This window comes from Homo sapiens, chromosome 11 (genome assembly GCF_000001405.40).
Source record: "Homo sapiens chromosome 11, GRCh38.p14 Primary Assembly".
In the NCBI taxonomy this organism is placed as follows: domain Eukaryota; kingdom Metazoa; phylum Chordata; class Mammalia; order Primates; family Hominidae; genus Homo; species Homo sapiens.
This window is the reverse complement of record NC_000011.10, coordinates 58,012,913-58,034,200: the sequence shown is the minus strand read 5'-3', so window position 1 is coordinate 58,034,200 and position 21,288 is coordinate 58,012,913. Positions and strand designations below refer to the sequence as shown.

At 41.3% G+C, this 21,288-nt stretch overlaps 2 protein-coding genes, 1 long non-coding RNA gene and 1 pseudogene across 3 annotated transcripts in view; 2 read left to right on the top strand and 2 right to left on the bottom strand.

Moving 5' to 3' along the window:
- OR9Q1 (olfactory receptor family 9 subfamily Q member 1) overlaps window positions 1-10,320 on the bottom strand; it is a 157,736-nt gene extending 147,416 nt beyond the window's left edge. The window contains exon 1 of the mRNA NM_001005212.4: window positions 10,097-10,320. The gene's annotated coding sequence lies outside the window, so the exon portion shown is untranslated. The remainder of the gene's footprint in view (window positions 1-10,096) is intronic.
- OR6Q1 (olfactory receptor family 6 subfamily Q member 1) lies at window positions 2,295-3,248 on the bottom strand. The gene has a single exon (NM_001005186.2). It carries the CDS (start codon window positions 3,246-3,248, stop codon window positions 2,295-2,297), a length of 954 nt encoding a protein of 317 aa, NP_001005186.2.
- Window positions 7,389-7,495, top strand: RNU6-899P (RNA, U6 small nuclear 899, pseudogene; annotated as a pseudogene).
- Window positions 9,782-16,180, top strand: LOC107984331 (uncharacterized). Its single transcript, XR_001748218.1, has 3 exons — window positions 9,782-10,114; window positions 11,177-11,361; window positions 15,599-16,180. It is a non-coding gene; the product is annotated as an uncharacterized LOC107984331 (long non-coding RNA).
- Window positions 16,181-21,288: the final 5,108 nt, after the last annotated feature.

Here is a 21,288-nt window from a genome sequence, read left to right as displayed (position 1 = left end):
AGCAGGAGAATGGCATGAACCTGGGAGGCGGAGCTTGCAGTGAGCCGAGATCACGCCACCGCACTCCCTCTAGCCTGGCCGACAGAGCAAGACTCTGTCTAAAAAAAAAAAAAAAAAAAAAAAAAAGCAAGTGCTGAGCTGGATTTGGCCAGCAGAACTTTCTTAGCCAACATCCTAGGGGATGTTGATCCTGCAAGATAGAATAAACTTGCATCCTTAAAGTTGAACAGAGCCACCACCAGGCTGGAACACTCACTGTGGACTCTTGCCAGAAAAAGAAAATCTCCTTCATTCTTTAAGCTACACTATAGTTAAGTCTCTCTTGTTATAGAGACTTAGCATTTTACTTTATCTAATATATAGTCCATAACTCCTGACTATTCAGACCATAGCTCCCTTCCATAGTCCTCACCACTGTCCTTTTATTTTTTTAATTTCCATTTTTATTTTAGATTCAGGGGGTACATGTGCAGATTTGTCACAAGGATATATTGTGGGATGGTAAGGTTTGGACTCTATTCATTCTGTCACCTAGATGGGAACATAGTACCCAACAGGCAGTTTTTCAGCCATTGCCCCCTCCCCTCTCTCCCTCCTTTTGAGGTCCCCAGTATCTCTTATTCCCATCTTTATGTTCATGTGTACCCAAGATTTAGCTCCTACTTACAAGTGAGAAAACAAAATATTTGATTTTCAGTTTCTGCATTAATTTGCTTAGGATAATGGCCTCCCACTACATCCATGTTGCTGCATATAATACAATTTCATTCTTTTTCATGTCTGCATAGTATTCCATGGTGTATATGTATTGCATTTTCTTTATCCAATCTACCATTGATAGACACCTAGACTGATTCCATCTCTTTGTTATTGCAAATAGTGTCATGATGAACATACAAGTGCATGTGTCATTTTGATAGAACGATTATTTTACTTTGAGTATATACCTAGTAATGGGATTGCTGGCTTGAATAGCAGTTCTATTTTTCATTCTTTGAGAAATCTTCAAACTGCTTTCCATGTGGCTGAACTAATTTGCACTCTCACCAACAGTGCATAAGCATTCCCTTTTCTCTGCAACCTCTCCAACATCTGTTATTTTTTGACTCTTTGATAATAGCCATTCTAACTGGCATGAGATGATATCTCATTATGTTTTCATTTGCACTTCTCTGATGGTTAGTGATGATGAGAATTTTTTCATATGGTTGTTTACAACTTGGATATCTTCTTTTGATAAGTGTCTGTTCATGTCCTCTACCCACTTTTTAATGGGATTAATTGTTTTTTTCTTGTTGATTTAAGTCCCTTATAGATTCTGGATATTAAACCTTTGTCAGATGCATAGTTTGCGAATATTTTCTTTTATTTGGTAGTTTACCTGTTTGTCATGTCAACAGTTTATTTTACTGTGCAGAAGCTATTTAATTAAGTCCCACTTGTTAATTTTTGTTTTCATTGCAATTGCTTTTGAGAACTTAGTAATAAATTCTTTCCCAAGACCAATGTCCAGAAGGGTATTTCCTAGGTCTTCTTCCAGGATTTTTTTATAGTTTGAGGTCTTATATTTAAGTCTTTAATCCATCTTAATTTTTGAATATGGTGATAAGTAGAGGTTCAGTTTCAGTCTTCTGCATATGGCTAGCCAGTTTTCCCAGCACCATTTATTGAGTAGGGAATCTTTTCTCCATTGCTTATTTTTGTCAGCTTTTTCAAAGATCAGTTGGTAGCAATGTACAGTTTTATTTCTGGGTTTTCTATTCTGTCCCATTGGTCTATGTGTCTGTTTCTGTACTAGCACCATGCTGTTTTGGTTACTGTAGCCTTATAGTATAGTTTTAAGTCAGATAATATAATGCCTCCAGATTTATTTTTTTGGTTTTTTTTGCTTAGGATTGCTTTGGCAATTTGGGCTCCTTTTTTGCTTTCATATGAATTTTAGAATTGTTTTTTCTAATTCTGTGAAAAATGACATTGATAGTTTGATAGGAATAGCATTGAATCTGCGGATTGCTTTGGGCAGTGTGACCATTTTAATGATATTGATTCTTCCAATCTGTGAGCATGGGATGTTTTTTCATTTGTTTGTGTCATCTCTGATTTCTTTTAGCAGTGTTTTGTGGTTCCCCTTATAAATATCTTTCACTTCCTTGGTTAGTTGTATTCCTAGGTATTGTATTTTTTGTGGCTGTTATAAATGGAACTGCATTCTTGATTTGGTCTCAGCTTAAATGTTATTGACTAACCTGTTTTTAAATATCCAAGGCAAGGAAACTGGGTTCCCACCTGCCTCCTCACTGTCCCTTCCAAAAGTTGAGAGAAAAGACTCGACCCAGAGCTCCCTTCACTTCCTTGTTCCTAAGACTGTAGATGAGAGGATTGAGCATGGGCGTGACAACAGAGTAGAAGACAGATACCACCTTGTTGAAGTTGATGGAGGAGGTCACCTTGGTCTGGACATACATAAAGAAAAGAGTGCCATAGAAGAGGCTCACCACAGTCAGGTGAGCTGCACAGGTAGAGAAGGCCTTCCAGCGCTCAGCAGCTGAGCGGATGTGCAGCAGTGTCCAGACGATGTTGCCATAGGACACAGCAATGACCATAGAGGAGGCCAGTAGCACAGCCAGAGACACCAGGAAATCCACAGTCTCCTTCCAAGTGACATCTGAGCACGACAAGGCTAGCAAGGGTGAGGCATCACAGGAGAAATGGTCAATGACATTTGGGCCATAAAATGTTAGCTGAGACAAGAGGTAGATTGGCAAGATGGGTGTGAGGAAACCTACCAGCCAACAGGCAGCTGCCAGACGGATGCAGGTGCCCCAGGACACAAAAGCCCCATAGTGGAGAGGCATACAAATGGCCACATAACGATCATAGGCCATGGCAGCCAGTAGGAAACACTCAGTTGCCCCAAGAAAGGTGAAGATGAAGAGCTGGGATAGGCAATCAGCATAAGAGATATTCTTGCCACCATCCACCCCAATAAAACCAGCCAGCATCTTGGGCACTGTAACAGAAGTGTACCAGATTTCAAGGCAGGACAAGTGTGTCAGGAAGAAATACATGGGTCTCCGTAGTCGGTGGTCCAAACCCACCACTAAAATGATGGCCAAATTCTCCACCAAGGTGAACAGGTACATGGTGAGGAAGAGTATGAAGAAGAGGAGGTGTGCTTCATGGATGCCAGCAAAGCCCATCATGACAAATTCAGTTACCTGGGTCCAGTTTTTGGTATATGGTTGCATATGTGGCAGTGAGAGCTCAGCAAACTCATAGCCTCATAGACAATGAGAGCTCAAAGAGAACCTGTGAGGTTGGAGGATGTTGTACTAAAATGCCTTTCACTTCAGAAGAGAAACATGATGTCAACACACTGTTCTTACCCTCAAAGAATTCACAGTTCATGAGGGACATGAGAAAACAAATAATATTAGTACAAAATGAAATGCACTGGCTAAGAATAAGGCAGGATACTATGAGCAGAAATATCAGGGAAGCTCAACCAGTCTTGAGAAATCTTCCTGGAGGGAAGACTGTCTATAGCTGAACCTGAAAAGGAAGTATAAGTTAGTGAGACAAAAGGTAGAGATAGAGAGAAGACATCACAAGTATAAAATTCCAGACATCAGAGAGGAGATTGTGCATTGGGGAAACTTCAAGTAGAGACAGTTTACCATGGAGTTCAAGAGCTTGATTTCCCAAGCAAGCATACCTAGATTCAAATAAAAGAGAACCTAACAGATTTGTTGTGAAAATGTAAGTTAGATAATTCCTGTAAAGCACTTAGCATCATGTTTGAGTCAATAAATGTCAAGGGGGAAATCTACATGTTGACATCTCCTGGAATAAGATACAGAGAGAAAATGACTGTTTCTGAGCCTGAGGAGTAGGCTGGGACACCATGAAGGGCTAGCAACCAAATTAAGGGAAAGGAAAAAGCTGAGCTTCAGTCTAAAGGTCACAGGGAGACTTTAAGAATTATAAGCAGAGAAGCAATGCTATTCTTTTTACCCCTTAGAAGGGGCAGGTTTGGAGGGGAACAAGATAAGAGCCAGAGGCCGGGCCCGGTGGCTCATATGTGTAATCCCAGCACTTTGGGAGTCTAAGGCAGGCAGCTCACCTGAGGTTGGGTGTTCAAGATCAGCCTGGCCAACATTGTGAAACCCTGTCTCTATTAAAAGTACAAAAGTTAGCCCAGCGTGGTGGTGGGCACCTGTAATCCCAGCTACTCAAGAGGCTGAGGCAGGAGAATCACTTGAATCCAGGAGGCAGAGGTTGCAGTGAGCTGAGATTATGCCACTGCACTCTAGCCTGGGCAACAGAGCAAGACTTAATGTCAAAAAAAAAAAAAAAAGGAGGAGGCAGGAAGGCTGGGTTAGGAGGTTGTTGCAAGTATAGCATGGAGTGATGGTGACTTTAACTGCAGAAATGCCAGTAGGAGACTGAATATGACTATTAAGAGATAGAATCAACATAATTGGGTTTGAATCCACACTGGGTTTGAATTTAAGCTCCAATATCAACTTGAAATATGTGACCATGAGTGAATCACTAAATAATCCCATTTTTTAAAAAACAGATAATACAAGAGTTCCAAAGAGATTACTTCCTATCTCATTTTAGAATTAAATGAGAAAATATAATATCTCCATTTTTGTGCCAGTTTTAAAATACAGCCCCAAATTCTTGAACACTCTTCCCATCCAAAAGTGAGGTCTATGGCTATTCCCATTGAATCTGGGTTCTGTGACTGCTTAACAACAGAATAAGGGGGAAGTGATGCTGTGCCAGGTTCCAGGCCCGGGACTTGGAAACCCCAGTTTCCTCTTCTTGCTTCTTGAAACCCAGTGACAGTAGTGTGAGGAAGCCTATCCAGCCTGTGGAAAGGCCTAGGTGGAGAGGAACTAAGTCCCTCAGGCCTCAGCCTGGCCAAGCTTCCACTGACAGCCAGCAGCAGCGTACCAGCCGGATGAATAAGCTGTCTGAGAAATAGATCATTCAGCCCCCAGTTGAGCTGGCCAAGCTGACACCAGCCTTCCCTTCTGAGCCCTCCCCAAATTAAAAATCTGTGAGCTAAATAACTGATTGCTGTTTAAACCACTAAGTTTTAGGCTGCTTTGTTATGCAGTAACATAAATAAAGCAGTTATACCCTAGTTGTGTAACTTGGGCAAATTATTCACTATTTCTGACCCTTTGGAGAAAAAGAAATAGTGTTTTGCTACAGTCACAGATTCCTGAACTGGAATTTGAATCCAGGTTTGCCAAGGTCTAAAGCCCTTGCTCTTTCCCCTATAAATAATTAGCAAGTTCCTTCTGGCTTCAGAATTCCTGGCAATGAAAGCATGTAGAGATAAAAAATCAGAAATAAACAAGTCCAAAGTTTTCAGATTTCTGCGTGCGTCTTCGCCATGCCTAACATCCCCACAGTGGGAAGTCTATAAACATTGGCTTCCTCTCACATAATTGCATTGCAGCCCCAGACACTTCATGCTTCTGTTGGCTCAAGGAAATTTCAGGATGCAATTTCCACCCATTTATCTCGTTTGCAACCTCACTTACAATGTAGCAGCCTCCAAACAATGATCACCCTTCCCAGTGGAGATACTGCACACAGATGCTCTAGAAGTTTGACTTGACTTACGGTGTTAGACAGTTTCACAGTCAAATTCTCTGAAAAATTCATTATTTTTCATAGTCATGGAGAGGATGAGATTTAGAGTCAAACAGCTCTGGGATCAAGCCCTGGGTCTGCAATTTACTAGCTCTCTTGTGTCATCTATAAATTCTTACTATTTTTCTAAATCTTACCTGTCCTTTCATCTGTGACTCAGGTTTGATAGTCCTGTCTTCACTAGGAAGGCTTTTTCCTTATCTCATTCCTCCAAACTTGTATGCAGGTCAAGCAAACAAATGCAGAGGGCACCTGCTCTGACCTAGGAACCACGGTGGAGGGTACAGATGCCCCCAGCATCTACCCCAGGGTCTGGTACAAAGCAGGTACCCCCAACATCCATCCTGAGGCCTGATGCAGAGCAGGTGCCCCCAGCATCCACCCTGGGGCCTGGTACAGACCAGGTTTCTCCAGCATCACCATGGGGCCTGGCACAGAGCAGATTCTCCCACCATCTGCCCCAGGGCCTGGTACAAAGCAAGGGCCACAAGCATCTATCTCAGGGCCTGGTACAGAGCAGGTGCCCCAGCATCCACCCTGGGGCCTGGTACAGATGCCCCCCCGACATCCACCCTGGGGCCTGGTACAGAGCAGGTATTATTTTTTAATACTTTCAGCTCTCTGATCCATGGCTTAGAGAGAGAGTGCCAGAACCTGTGGCCTTTGTATCAGGCCCAGATTAGCTACATTGAAAGGATCTGCTCTTGTTTCTCAAAAGCTGAAGGAGGGGTAAAGAAGTAGGATATAAGAGAGAAGGAGAGAGGGACAGCCGACGGCTTTTTATCCCCTTGCATCTAGGCAATGAGGCATTTCACCTGTGGGCTGAGATTTTTTTAAGAAGCAGGAGCAGTTTCCCCACTATCTCTTTCCCCATCATAGAGCCAACAGCTGGCAGGATCCTAGATCCCTGAAGAAAACGACTCACTTCTTCCTGGAGCAGGGATTACCCAATATTTTCTGTAAAGGATCAGATTTAAATAGTTTAAGCTTTATGAGCCACAGGCAGTTTCCGCCACATATTCTTCTCTGTGGGTTTATTTTGTTTGTTTTTGCAACTCTTTAAAACGTAAAACCCTTTCTTAGCTCATGGTCCATACACAAACAGGCTACAAGCTGGATTTGGACCATGGGCTGTAATTTGCCAATCCCTGCCCTAGACTCACACAGGACTGTTACATGAGCGAAAAAGAACACCACTTTACTGTGTCAAGCAGTAGTTACCCTACTTTATGGACACACATACCACCTCTGCCACCACCAAGCAGCCAAACTGTCCTCAAATTATCTGTTGTCTCTTGTTCTGCAGAGAAATGGGAGACGGGGGACAACTGATACCCAGGGTTTGGTTGGGCATGCGTGGGCAATTGCACCTGCACAGAAGCCCAGTGAGTCCTTACTGCTCCCCCTACCCTAATGCTAATTAACAAACTGCAAGGGAAGCTTTTCTTGAATTCCAAATCAGAAACCCAAAATCTAAACTGAATGATTCTAGAAAAATGCTTGAATCGCCATCAGTTCTTCCTCTACTGCCTGACACCAAATTGCATTCTTTGAGAGACTCAAGAAATGAATTCAAGTTGTCAAATAGATTGGATTGATATATGGAGAACAACATTCAAAGAGTTAAAAGAATAAAATAATTTTTAAATGTCTCATTACTTCTTTCTCTAGTGTATATTAATTCACACTGATTCATTAAAAAGATTAAGATAGTACTCACTTCGGCATCATATATACTAAAATTGGAATGACACGGAGAAGATTAGCATGGCCCCTGAACAAGAATGACACACAAATTTGTGAAGCATTCCATATCTTTTTTTTTTTTTTTTTTTTTTTTTTGGTTACAGAGTCTTGCTTTGTTGCCCAGGCTGGAGTGCAGTGGTGCAATCTCGGCTCACTGCAACCTCCGCCTCCTAGGTTCAAGTGATTCTCCTCCCTCAGCCTCCCAAGTAGCTGGGATTTCAGGCACGCATCACCATATCCAGCTAATTTTTGTATTTTTAATAGAGACACGGTTTCACCATATTGGCCAGGCTGGTCTCGAACTCCTGACCTCAAATGATCCACTCACCTCGACCTCCCACAGTGCTGGGATTACAGGCATGAGCCACCATGCCCAGCCATGTTCCATATTTTTAACAAGCCTGCACATGTACCATTGAATATAAAAGTTGGGAAAAAATAAAAAGGTTGAGAGACAGAATTTCACAACTATCTAACTCCTGGAAATTTTTGAACCTATTAATTTGTTAACTCAGTGAAGTGGTTTACTCACAGTTCTATGCCTGCCAGTTCCTCATTCAAGCATTCATCAAGGAGACCCTGAGTTCTAGGCATGGTACCAGGCATCAGGCCTCTAACCCAAAATGAGTTGCAAGTCCTGCCTTTTAAGAACTGTGTCTTTTAGGAAAGATAGAGAAGTACTCAAGGGTTAGAACAGAGATGTGATGAGCTAATTGCAATGTGTCTGGTAGAACAAAGTAGGGGGCAGTGAAGTTGGCATACAAGGAAGACAGGACAGGTAAGATCAAGAAACAATTTCCCAATTAAATCACACTGAGGGTGGGGGACGGTGGAAAGAAGGCAATCCTTAACTGACAAAACCAAGTGCAGTAGAGGGAGGGGGAGGCACCCCAGCAAGCCAGGGGAGAGACAGGTGGAAGTAGGTAATATGCCCAGAGGAATTGTTAGAAGAGGTTGTGAGGTCCACGGAGAGAGTCAGGAGAGCACAGTGGTTAAGGCTACATTCAGGCATTAGACCACCTGATGCCTTCAAATCTCAGCTCCACCACCTTCTAACTGAAATCAAATGAAAGCAACCTAGATGGGAGGCAATGCCTAACCCAACGGAATGAATATCTGATGGAATCATTGAAGTCATCAGAGACAAGTCTAATGAGAAACTCTTTCTGAGCGAGAGTTCCAGAGCATCCAAATTCTACTCCTCTTCCCCCCTGCCCCAACACGTCTTCGGGTCATGTGTTGGTAGGAAGATGAGCTTCTCTCCAAAAAGGGAGAAAGGAGGCCGGGCGCAGTGGCTCACGCCTGCAATCCCAACACCTTGGGAGGCTGAGCGGGCGGATCACAAGGTCAAGAAATCAAGACCATCCTGGCCAACACGGTGAAACCCCGTCTCTACCAAAAATACAAAAAGTAGCTGGTCATGGTGGCGTGCGCCTGTAGGACACACCCTATAGTAGCACGGCGGGCACCCCAGCTACTCAGGAGGCTGAGGCAGGAGAATCTCTTGAACCCGGGAGGCGGAGGTTGCAGTGAGCTGAGATCGCGCCACTGCACTCCAGCCTGGCGACAGGGCAAGACTCCGTCTCAAAAAGAAAGGGTCATTTACGGAGCCCCTCCCATGGGCTAGATTCTGATGGGCTGATACCATCTGGCTTAATCCCCACAATATTGTACTATGATCCTATGAACTATTCTTGATATAGAGGTGTTATTTGTCTTGGTTTTCACGCAATTGAAATCACTGAAGGCTCAGAGAGACAGTAAGTAAACTTGGGCAAGATCAAAGAACTACATGGCACAGAGAAGAGCCAAACCCCAGAGCTTCTGACAAAAAAAGCCTCCACACCGTGCCATTTTCCTCTGCCATCTCATTTCACCCAATGACAACGTGCCTGCAACCCTGGCTCCCTGCCCTGACTCTGAGGTTAATTTCCCTGCAGCTCGGAGCCCCGCCAAGGCTGGAGGAATATCCCACAGGCTCCAGTGAGCTGCAAAGCACAGTCACACTCCCAGGGCTATTAACAGCATCCGCTTCCTCTCCAAGGTTCAGGGAACTTTATCCACCAAGTGCCATGCAGGAAAAAAGAGGTCAGCCAGAGAGGAGAGGGTCACACGGGGCAATCACTAAATAAGGAGAAAGGCCGCACAGGAACTTGGCCCAATTTGGTGTCCTCAAAAGACGGTGCTCCCTGGCCAAGATTTTCCCTAACAAATATGGAAAAACAGTTTGAGGCCCATGCACGAAAATTGAAACTTGGTTCCTGTAGCTATTTGCTTGTGTAGCTACGTGACAAGCCTGGTGAGAAACGCTGGATTTCTCCCTCTTTCAGTTCTCTCCACCTGGCATCTGGGGGCCTAGTCCCAAAAAGTGAAAGGAACTGGAAAATAAACTTACTAAGATCCAGGAAATGATTTCAAAAAAAAACAGCCAACAAACCGAGGTGAGCAGGCGCAGTGGGTGGGTGTTATGAGACAGACAGCGGGGCTAGGAGATGCCCAGGATGAAGCCCGGAGACCTGCTCTCTGATTCCTCTTGGGTCTAGCTCATCACAGCCTGCTTCCCCACTCCCACTGCAACGTGACAGCAACAGCACATCTCACTTTCCAACATGCAGACAGCCCCCTGTGTTAACAGCACCGTCTCTGAAATCAGTGGAGCTGCATTTGACCCTACCTCCGTCAGGCCGTAGCTGTGAGTTTGGGAAAGGCGTTTGATCTTTCTGAGCCTCAGTGTCTTCATCTTCAAACGGGAAGGATAACATGTACATTGCTGGGCTGGACTAAAGATGGAAGGAGACATCATTAAGGGAAAGTTAGGGCCTTTGCTCCTTTCGCTCCCTCTACCATCTCTGTGTGGCATCCTCCTGCACTTCTTCAATTCCCTGCACAAGGGCCACCTTAACAGAGAGGCCCTTTCTGACCACCTATCTGAAAACGCAGTTCCTTTCACTCTCTGACCCTCTTCTCAGTTTGATTTTTTGGGTCACAGCTTCATTGCCATCTGGTAGATATTTATTTGTTTGTCTATAACATCACGCACACACACACACACACACACACAAAAGGAAGCTCCTTGAAGATAGTGCCTTTGTTTGTTTGTTCATTACTGTGTTGCTAATGCCAAAGTCACTGACATGTAGTCTACATGCAATAAATATATACTGATGTAATAAAAGGGTGGCTGCATGCTCCTGATTGTACGTTGGCAGCGTACTTAGTTTCCTTTCCATTTCTAGCTACCTGTTTTTAAGGAAATTTAAGGAAAAGGAAGTTCAACAATACTTACAGAAAAGTCAATCAATTTGGGTGTTGTCCATGCAATTACTGTCAACGGACTACAAGACTGACAATGCCTGCAGGAATGATGTCTTGTATATCTGGAGCAGCCTGCTCTCATGGCCTTGGGTGGGAGGCAAATTGAATTGATTTCTACATATAATTTCTTTTTCTTAGCTACAGAATTTAATTCTAAATTTCCCGGAAAGCTGTACTCTATCAGCTGTTTTCAAACTCTGTTCCACCAAGCCCTAGGTTTGCTTAGTTGCCAGGTAGCTGGGAAGAGGAAAGGACCTAGTATGTGGGGCTCTCAAAATCCCTGCTTCAACCAGCTAGTAAGTGACAGAGTCCAGATGAGAATCCAGCCCAGTCTGACTCCAGAGCCCACCATCTTTCCATCATACCACCTCCCCAGGGAGGGTGATATTCCTAAAATAAAATCTGATCAATTAACTGGGCGCTTCTCTCATTATTCCAGGACTTCAATACTGAGCAGATACAATCTGTTCCTCAAAGCTACTGACATATAGTCTGCCTATGATGGGAACAAATGGGAAACTGAGGTATAAGAAAATAAGTGGGAGGCTTCTCCAGCCATATATGTGACAGAGACCCCAGACCCAAACCAAGCCAGAGAGTCCACTATAGCAGACAGGAACCAAGGTGAGAATCAAGCTTTCTGAGCTTCTAGCTCTTAATCTCTAGGCAGCAATAATATCTATTCTTGTTGTCTCTCAGAACATTCTGTGAATTGATGAGATAGTGGATGTGCGGGTTCTTTGAAACTTTAAAGGTACACTCTGGTAAAACCTGCTTACTCTTTTGCTTCTATTGCTTATGGACTATGCGATGACCACAGAATTTCAATAAAGGGACAGCATGGGAATGGCCATCTGGTGGGACTCTGGGAATGGTCATGAAGCTGCCCTGGAATAACAAAAGCAAATTGATTTTGTTTAGATTGTAGGTTTGAGGTGGCTTGAGGAGGCAGATGGAGATGAAGGAGAACTAAAACCCCACAAAGTCCCTCGGCACCCCTACTCTATAAGAGCTTAAGCAAATCAGTTGAATTCTGTGTGCCTCCATTTTCTCACTTGAAAACTGAATTGATATTTAAAACCACAATGACTCTGTAAAAGAGCTTTTGGGCCGGGTGTGGTGGCTCATACCTGTAACCCCAGCACTTTGGGAGGCCGAGGTGGGTGGATCACTTGAGGTCAGGAGTTCGAGACCAGCCTGGCCAACATGGTGAAACCCTGTCTCTACTAAAAATACCAAAACTAGCCAGGCATGATGGCATACACATGGTAATCCCAGCTACTCAGGAGGCTGAGGCAGAATTGCTTGAACCCAGGAGGTGGAGGTTGCAGTGAGCCGATATCACACCACTGCACTCCAGCCTGGGTGACAGAATGAGACTCTGACTCAAAAATAAATAAAATAAATAATTTTTTTTAAAAAAAAAAAAGAGGTTTTGAACAACAAAAAATGAGATTACAAACTGGGAAAACTCTGAAGAAAAGATTGGGCTATACCAAAGTCAGGAATCATACCTCTAGATTTGGTATCCATTTGATTGATAACATTCCTTCCATACACCACGCCTTGCATGCTCTTTGGATATAGGCCTCTAGAGGAGCCACGTACCTGCCTCCCACTGCTTCTCTAGTTTCCTAGTGTCTTCTCTGGGTGAAACACCAAGGCCAAGCATGCCCAGAACCTTGGAACTGGTGGCCAGGACAGGTTATTGAATCCCACTGAAGAACAGAGACCCCAAATTCAAGGAGCACAGTTTCTCTGAACCAAAGGTAGAGGGCACAGATCTGCCACTGGCTGAACTGGAAAGAGAAGTAACAAGAATTGTAGCTGGCTATAAGATGCCTCATACTCCACGTATGTGCCTGTAACTCTCCCAGGGGTGACCCATGGGACCATTTCTCCATGGAGGTTTAAAGCTCTCAGACAACAAAGAAAAGAAAATAATAAATTATGAAAAACTTTGTCCCAGAGGGTATGCAGAAGCTACGTGGGAGTTCCAAATCTGTAGATTAGGACGACGGATGCCTCAGAGTGGAGGATGAGGGGCCAACCAGGGAAGATTCCGTGACAGCTAGACTCTTTGCCAAGGTCTCTGACTCCAAACTACTCTAGAATATGGTGACACGAAATCTATAGAGTTCAGATTTATCACAGATGCAGTGAGGCCTTCCTCAATAGAGTGGGTCAGATATCACCATCCACCTACCTGCCCCCTATCCCCCACTTCTGGAAAATAATCTGCAATGATAACACCAGACATTACTGAGTAGCCACTCTGGGCCAGGCTCTGTGCAATATAGATGTGAAGTACCAGCTTCAACCCTTAAGGAGCTCACAATTCCATAGAGGCTGTGACTTAGGGTCACTTTTAACCTGAATGTTGCTGTGCCAAATTGCCTTCCTTTCAAAGAGTTAATCTGGGGCATTTGATGATTGTTTACAGGCTGGGCAATTGTTTTCTCCAAAAGGGAAATACAGTGTTATTTCAATATAAAGCAAAAAGAACATCAAGGATGGTGAGTATCCACTGTGTTTGATCACAGAAGGCAGCTGGACCAAAGCTGGCAAAGCCCAAAGGCAATATAGATGACTTGTTCTTTAACACATCTTCAACGCATAGGATCATTTTCTTTGATTTTGTATGACTTGGGTCCAGCCTTAATGTATCAGGTGCAAATATCTTGTCTTCCCAACTAAACAATAAAGATCTTTTACCACAGGGCCATGTCTTATATTTTCTGCATTCCCAAAAAGCCTAGTGCAGTACTGCTCAGTGTAAAACATCACAGACTTGTGATAAAAGAAAAACTTTAGCTGAATTAAATTTAAAGGAGTTTAGTTGAGCAATGAACAATTCGTGGATTGGGTAGCCCCCAGAATCACAGCAGATTCACAGAGACTCTAGGGGTGCCTCGTGATCAGAACAAATGTATAGACAAAAAAGGTAAAGTGATATACAGAAATCGGAAGTGAGAAACAGTGAGATTGGTTACAGCTGGACGTTTGCCTTATTTGAAGGCAGTAATATTCAACAGTCTGTGAGTGGTTGAAGTATGGCCGCTAGGATTAGCCAACACGCAGCTATTGTTACAGGTGCACACTAGTAAGTTAGGTTTTCAATTTTATATATTATGATGATGAGGTCTACAAAATTGTATATAATTGTTGTTCCACTGTAATCTATTACGCTAGGTTACAGCTCATCCACGAGGACTCAGCTATAGAAGTACAGAGTCCTTCTCAGGCCATATTTAGTTTGCTTTAACACTTGGACTTGAATCCTACATAAGCCTCTTCATAGACCTGCTACCTTTCTAAAATTAGGAAAATAAAACTACATGACAAGGATGTACTTAGAGATAAATAAGGAAACAAAGTTGAGGGCTTTGTCCACCTGACAGTAGACATAAGATCATTATACCACGACACTTCAGGCTGCTCTAGGCAGGAAGGATGTTGAACCGTGCCGTATCTGCATTCCCACTCAATGGAAAAACCTCTTTGCAGCTCTGACCCAATCTGTCAATGACTCTCACTCTGCAAATCTAAAAAATAAAAAAAATTTAAAAATTAAAAAATCCTCTTCTGCATTCACATGTAAGGCTGATCAAAAGCAACTAGGAAGAACACCATGTCTTCAGGCCAAGGACATTCAGAGGGAAACAGCCACCTGGAGAACAAAGGAAATAGAGGCAAACTCCAAACCTCTGCTCTCCAGCCCAGGCCCCACTGGTTCCTGCCTTTCTCCTCTCCTTTCTGGAACACTATGTCTTTCTGGCTTTACAGTGTAAACCAGTACAGCCTTGATAGCTCCTTGAGTTTTGCCACTCTATCTGTTGTCCCAGTTTCACATCACAAAAGTTCAGAAACTGAGCAATTAAAGGCAGAATTCTCCTGTGTGTGTGAAAGTAATAAAAGAGGCTTTGAATGATCATATTCCTATTATTTTCCTCTTGCCCGAGGAATCAAATATCCCAACCTCCAATGTTGGGGCTACAGAACCCCACTGGCAAAGGAAGTGGGGCTACAGAACCAACACTGGCAAAGGAAGAACACAGACTAGAACAAAAAGCCAAGAACCTTCACCACCCCTCTGAGAAGAGATTTGAAATCATTCACTGTACTTCCAATTTTAATATATTATGATGATGATGATGAGGTCTACAAGATCATATATAAATCTCATTCCACAGTAGAGGCTCAATCTCAACATGTTGTTTTTCAGCCTTAACAGCATTCAGAAACAGAGTCTGGCACAGTATTTTTTGCAGGCATTTCTTTTCATTGTATTTTTATCATGAAATAATCAACTTTATACACAAGAAGGAACATAATATAATGTTTACTGCTATCCAGCTTTATCAATTATTAACTTTTGGCAATAATTATTCCACATCCTTTTTTTGTAAAAATATGATTGATAGACTGAGAGAAACAAAGACATATATATATTAATAGATGATGATGATCATGATTATAATGGTGAAGATAGATAGATAAATCGATGATAGACAGATAAAAATGTAGATACAGTTGAGGCCTTCTGTTTGTTTTCAGTCCCATCACCCTTGCACCCTCCCCTCCTCCTCAAAATTAACCAATATGGTAAATTCAGTATTTATCATGCTCACAAATGATTCATACTATTTGTCATCCATGAACATTATTTTATTTTATTTTGCATATTTTAAAATAGGCATAGTGGATTAACCTCTACACTTTGCAATTTGCTTTCTTCTTAGAGCGTTGTTTTTAATATTTTTATGTTGATACTTGCAGCTCTAGCTCATTCATTTTAATTTCCATGTATCTTCTGTTGTATTTTTTAAAACTGTATACTTATTCATTCTCTCATTAATAGGCATTGAAGATGTGTCTAATTTTCTACTATTCCTCACAATAAACATTCTCATGACTCGTCTTATTGTGCGCATCTGCAAAAGGCTGTCTAAAGGAGTGGTTCTCAAAGTGTGGTCGCCTGCAGCAGCAGCATCACCTGGGAACATGTTGGAAATGCAAATCCACTCCTTCCTCGGACCTACTGAACCAGAAACTCTAGGAGTGGGGTCTAGCAATACATGCTTTAACAAGCCCTCCGGGTGATGCTGAATCAAGCTAAAGTTTGAGAACTGCTGCTTGAGGGTGACCTAAATGGACACATCTCACATCACTAAACAATGCTGAATTACTCTCCAAAGGGGTTGCCCCAACTATATTCCCACCAGCAGTGTTTGAGAGTTACCAATTTCTCATACAAAACCAGCACGATGTAATTACAACCCTCTGACAGTTTCCGCCATCTGTGGGTTAGGCATCTTGTCAAATGTTTATTGGCCAAATGGATTCCCGTTCTTATGCACTTTCAGTTTTCTATTCAGTAGTTTTTAACCATTTTTTAATAATTTGTAGACATTATTTGTGTTTTCTAAAAACTCATACTTTGTTTTATAATCAATATGTTCCCAGTCTTTTAACTTTGTTTATATTGAGTTTGCTGTTGTTGTTGTTTTCATTTAACATCTTTAAGTTTTATGTAGTAAAATGTACAAATCTTTTCCTGTATGGCTTGTGCTTTTGCGCCTTGACTAAAATGTATTCTAAAAAATGCTTGGATTTTGATTTTTATACTTAGTCTTTAATGTAACTGGACTTGATCTTTGTGTATGCTATGAAGTAGACATTTAAATTTAGGGGCTTTTTTCATATTGATAATATCCTTCTCCATCAATTGGTAATGCCACCTCTCATAAATCCAGATATTCAAGATATTTAAGATCCTGTGTGTTGACCAAGCTTTTGTTCTTAATATTACTTACCCATATATCTTTTCTTATTTAGTGGTAAATCTTGCTAGGGTTTGCCTATTTTATTGTTTTCCTTTTTTCCAAAAACAAACTTTGGTTTTCTATCTTATTTTCTATTTCATTAATTCTTGCTCTTATATTTATTATTTCCCTCCTTCCACCTTCATAGATTGCTTCATTATTCTTTTAAAGCTATTTTTAATATAATACCATACATTTATTTTCATTTTTTGTTTATAATAAATGCAATTAAGCTATATATTTACCTGTAGACATCACTTTAATTAGATCAAATATTTATATATTATTGTTATAAATGTTATTAATATGGTATTTATTTCTTCTTTAATTCATGAGTTATTCAGAGTGTCATTCTTCAGTTTCCTGATAAGTAAGAAGAGAAAGAGAGTAGGATTGCTAAACTACTTTTTATCATTTAAATTATTTTTAATTTAATTGTGTGGTAAGATATTGTGATCAGTAGGATAGCAATTCTTTGAAAGTTGTTGAGATTTCCTCTTTGCCTTCATGTTCAAATTTTACAAAGGTTCTGTCTATACTTGAAAATAACATATGCACTTGAGTGTAAAGTTTTTAGATATATACATATACATATATCACACTGGCTAATTTTATTATTCAAAGCTGCTATTGCCATTCTAATTTTTGTCTGCTGGATTTGTAAGTTGTGTTTATCTCCTACTATGGTTTTTTGACCTTCTCCTTATAATTCTGTCAACGTTTACTTCATTTCTTTCAGTGTTGCAATGTATGATAATTGTATTAGAAGCATGTAATTTCATTATTGTTATATCTTCTTGATCTGTGGTTACATTTGTGTGTGTGTGGTTTCTCTCTTTATTCCTGAAATGTTTTTTGCCTTAAGAACTATTTTGTCCTATGTTAATTTTGCTACATTAACTTTTTTGTTAGTATTTGTGTTATACACGAATGCATGGTTTTCTTTTTTACTATTCCTTTTAAATGTTTTTATAATTTCAACTTTTTTTTTAGTTTCAGGGGTACACATGCAGGTTTGTTACATGAGTATATTGGATAATGCAGAGGTTCGGAGTACAATTTATCCCCCACCCAGGTAGTGAGCATAGTATCAAATAGTTTTGCAACCCTTTATCCCTCCTCCATGCCTCCCTTCTTTAGTAGTCACCAGTGTCTATTATCGCCATCTTTATGTCCATGAATACCCATTGTTTAGCTTACACTTAAAAGTGACGATATGCAGTATTCCTGTTCCGGTGTTAATTTGCTTAGGATAATAGCTTCCAGCTGCATCCATGTTGCTACAAAGGACATGATTTCATTCTTTTGTATAGCTGTGTAGTATTCCACGGTGCATGTGTATCACATTTTCTTTATTCAATCCACTGTTGTTGGGTACCTAGGTTGATTCCATGTCTCTGCTATTGTGAATACTGCCATGATAGAATTATTTCTTTTCTTTTGCTTTCTGTTTTGTTTTGTGGGGTTTTTTTTTTGTGTGTGTGTGTGGTTTTTTTCAGGAGATAGAGTCTTGCTCTGTCACCCAGGCTGGAGTGCAATAACACAATCTCTGCTTACTGCAACCTCCACCTCCCGGTTCAAGCGATTCTCCTGCCTCAGCCTCCCGAGTAGCTGATACTACAGGCATGCGCCACCACTCCCAGATAATTTTTGTGTAGAGATGGGGTTTCACCATGTTGGCCAGGCTGGTCTCGAACTCCTGACCTCAAGTGATCTGCCCACCTCGGCTTCTCAAATTGCTGGGATTACAGACGTGAGCCACCATGCCCAGCCATTTCTTTTCTTTTGGATATATACTCAGTAATGGGATTGCTGCATCAAATGACAATTCTTTTTTTAGTTCTGTGAAAAATCTCCAAACTGCTTTCCACAGTGGCTGAACTAATTTACATTCCCACCAGCAGTGTATAAATGTTTCCTTTTCTCCATAGCCTCATCAGCATCTGTTATTTTTTGACTTTTTAATATTAGTAGTGGCAAAAACCACAACTACTTTTGCACCAACCTAGTATTAGCTATTCTAACTGGTATGAGATGGTATCTTATCAGGGGTTTGGGAGGTTTCTGGTTTTGGTGTTTTTGTTGTTGTTGTTGTTGTTTTGAGACAAGGTCTTACTCTGTCACATAGGCTGGAGTGCAGTGGTGTGATCATGATTCACTGCAGCCTCAAACTCCTGGCGTCAAGCGATCCTCCCATCTCAGCCTCCCAAGTACCTGGGACTACAGGTAGATGCCATTACACCTGGTTAATTTTTTTAAAAAATTTTTTGTAAAGATGAATTCTTCCTATGGTGCCCAGCCTGGTCTCTAACTTCCTGCCTCAGCCTCCCAAAGTGCTGAAATTATAGGCATGAGCTCCTGAACCTGGCCTCACTGTGGTTTTGATTTGCTTCTGTCTGTTGGTTAGTGATGTTGAACATTTTTTTATATGTTTACTGGCCACTTGTATGTATTCTTCTGATAAGTGTCTGTTCATGTCTTGTGCCCACTGTTTTTATTTTTTTGACACAGTCTCGCTGTGTCACCCAGGCTGGAGTGCAGTGGCGTGAACTCGGCTCACTACAACCTCCGCCTCCCGGGTTCAAGAAATTATCTTCCTCAGCCTCCCAAGTAGCTGGGATTACAGGCGCCCACCACCATGCCCAGCTAATTTTTGTATTTTTAGTAGAGACGGGGTTTCACCATCTTGGCCAGGCTGGTCTTGAACTCCTGACCTCGTGATCCACCCACCTCAGCCTCCCAAAGTGCTGGGATTACAGGTGTGAGCCACCACGCCCAGCCTGTGCCCACATTTGATGGGGTTATTTGTTTTTTGCTTGTTGAATTAAATTCCTTGTAGGCTCTGAATATTAGACCTTTGTTGAATGCATAGTTTCCAAAAATTTCCTCTCATTCTGTAGGTTGTGGGTTTATTCTGCCTGATAGTTTGTTTTGCTGTGCTCTTTAATTAGGTCCCACTTACCAATTTTTATTTTTATTGCAATTGCTTTTCATGATTGAGCCATAAATTCTTTCCCAAGGCCGATGTCCAGAATGGTGTTTTCCGGGTTTTCTTCTAGGATTCTTATAGTTTGAGGTGTCATATTAAATCTTGGATTCATCTTGAGATAATTTTTGTATGTGGCAAAAGGTAAGGATCCAGTTTCATTCTTCTGCATGTGGCTAGCCAGCTATCCTAGCACCATTTATTGAATAGGAAGTCCTTTCTCCTTAGCTTATTTTTGTCAATTTGTTGATGATCAGATGGCTGAAGACGTATGGCTTTATTTCCAGTTTTTTATTCTGTTCATTGGTGTGTGATATGGTTTGCATTTGTGTCTCCGCCCAAATTTCATGTCAAATTGTAATCCCCAAGGTTGGAGGTGGGGCCTGGTGGGAGGTAACTGGATCCTGGGGGTAGATTCCCCCCCTTGCTGTCCTCATGATAGTGAGTGAGTATCTCAGGAGATCTGGTTGTTTAAAAGTGTGTGGCAATGTCCCCCTCTCTTTCCCTTCTGCTCCAGCCATGTAGGATATGCCTGCTTTCCTTTCACCTTCCACCATGATTATAAGTTTCCTGAGGCCTCCCCAGCCATGCTTCCTATACAGCCTGCAGAACCATACACCAATTAAACCTCTTTTCTTTATAAATTACCCAGTCACAGATAGGTCTTTATAGAAGTGCAAGAACAGACTAATACAATGTATGTGTCCGTTTTTGTACCAGTACTATGCTGTTTGGGTTACCATAGCCTTGTAGTATAGTCTGAAGTCAGGTAATGTGATGCCTCTAGCTTTGTTCTTTTTGCTTAGTATTGCTTTGGTTACTCAGGCTCTTTTTTGGCTCCATATGAACTATTTTAGTTTTTTCTAATTCTGTGAAATATGACACTGGTGGTTTGATAGAAATCGTACTGAATCTGTAGATTGCTTTGGGCAGTATGGACATTTTAACAATATTGATTCTTCCAACTCAAAAGCATTAAATGTTTTTCCATTTGTGTATATCACCTATGATTTCTTTCAGCTGGAGTTTGTAGTTCTCCTTGTAGAGATCTTTCATCTCCTTGGTTAAATGTATTCCTAAGTATTTGTGTGTGTGTGTGTGTGTGTGACTACTGTAAATAGTATTATGTTCTTGACTTGACTCTCAGGTTGAATGTTATTGGTGTATAGAAATGCTGCTGATTTTTTGTACACTGATTTTGTATCCTGAAACTTTACTGAAGTTATGTATCCATTCTAGGATGAGCCTTTTGGCAGAGTCTTTAAAGTTTTCGAAGGGTGGAATATCATCAGTGAAAGATAGGTTGACTTCTTCTTTTCCTATTTCAATATATTTTATTTCTTTCTCATGCTTGTTTGCTCTGGCTAGGACTTCCCATCATTTTCCATTTTTTTATATTCAGCCCATATGTGTGTATGTGTGTGCGTTCATTCTGTGTCTTGTAGAAAGCATAGAGTTGCATTTTTTTGTTCATTTGATTGCTTCTTTTAATAGATAAATCTGATCCATTTACACTTTTTTAATGTAGTCGTTTATTTAGACTTAATCACAGTACCATATTTTGTGTTTTCTATTTACCATCCTGTGTTTTTCCTCTTTTCTACCTTCTTTTGTTTGATAATGTGTATTCCATTCTGATTTGGAAGCCATAACTTTTATTTCTATTATTTTAATAGCCACACTGAATTTTTTAAATGACATACTTAACTAAAAATTTTTCTGTCAATGTTTACAGACATT

Excerpts from the sequence above, each read along its gene's own strand:
- OR6Q1 (NM_001005186.2), bottom strand. The coding sequence starts at position 3,248 with ATGCAACCATATACCAAAAACTGGACCCAGGTAACTGAATTTGTCATG.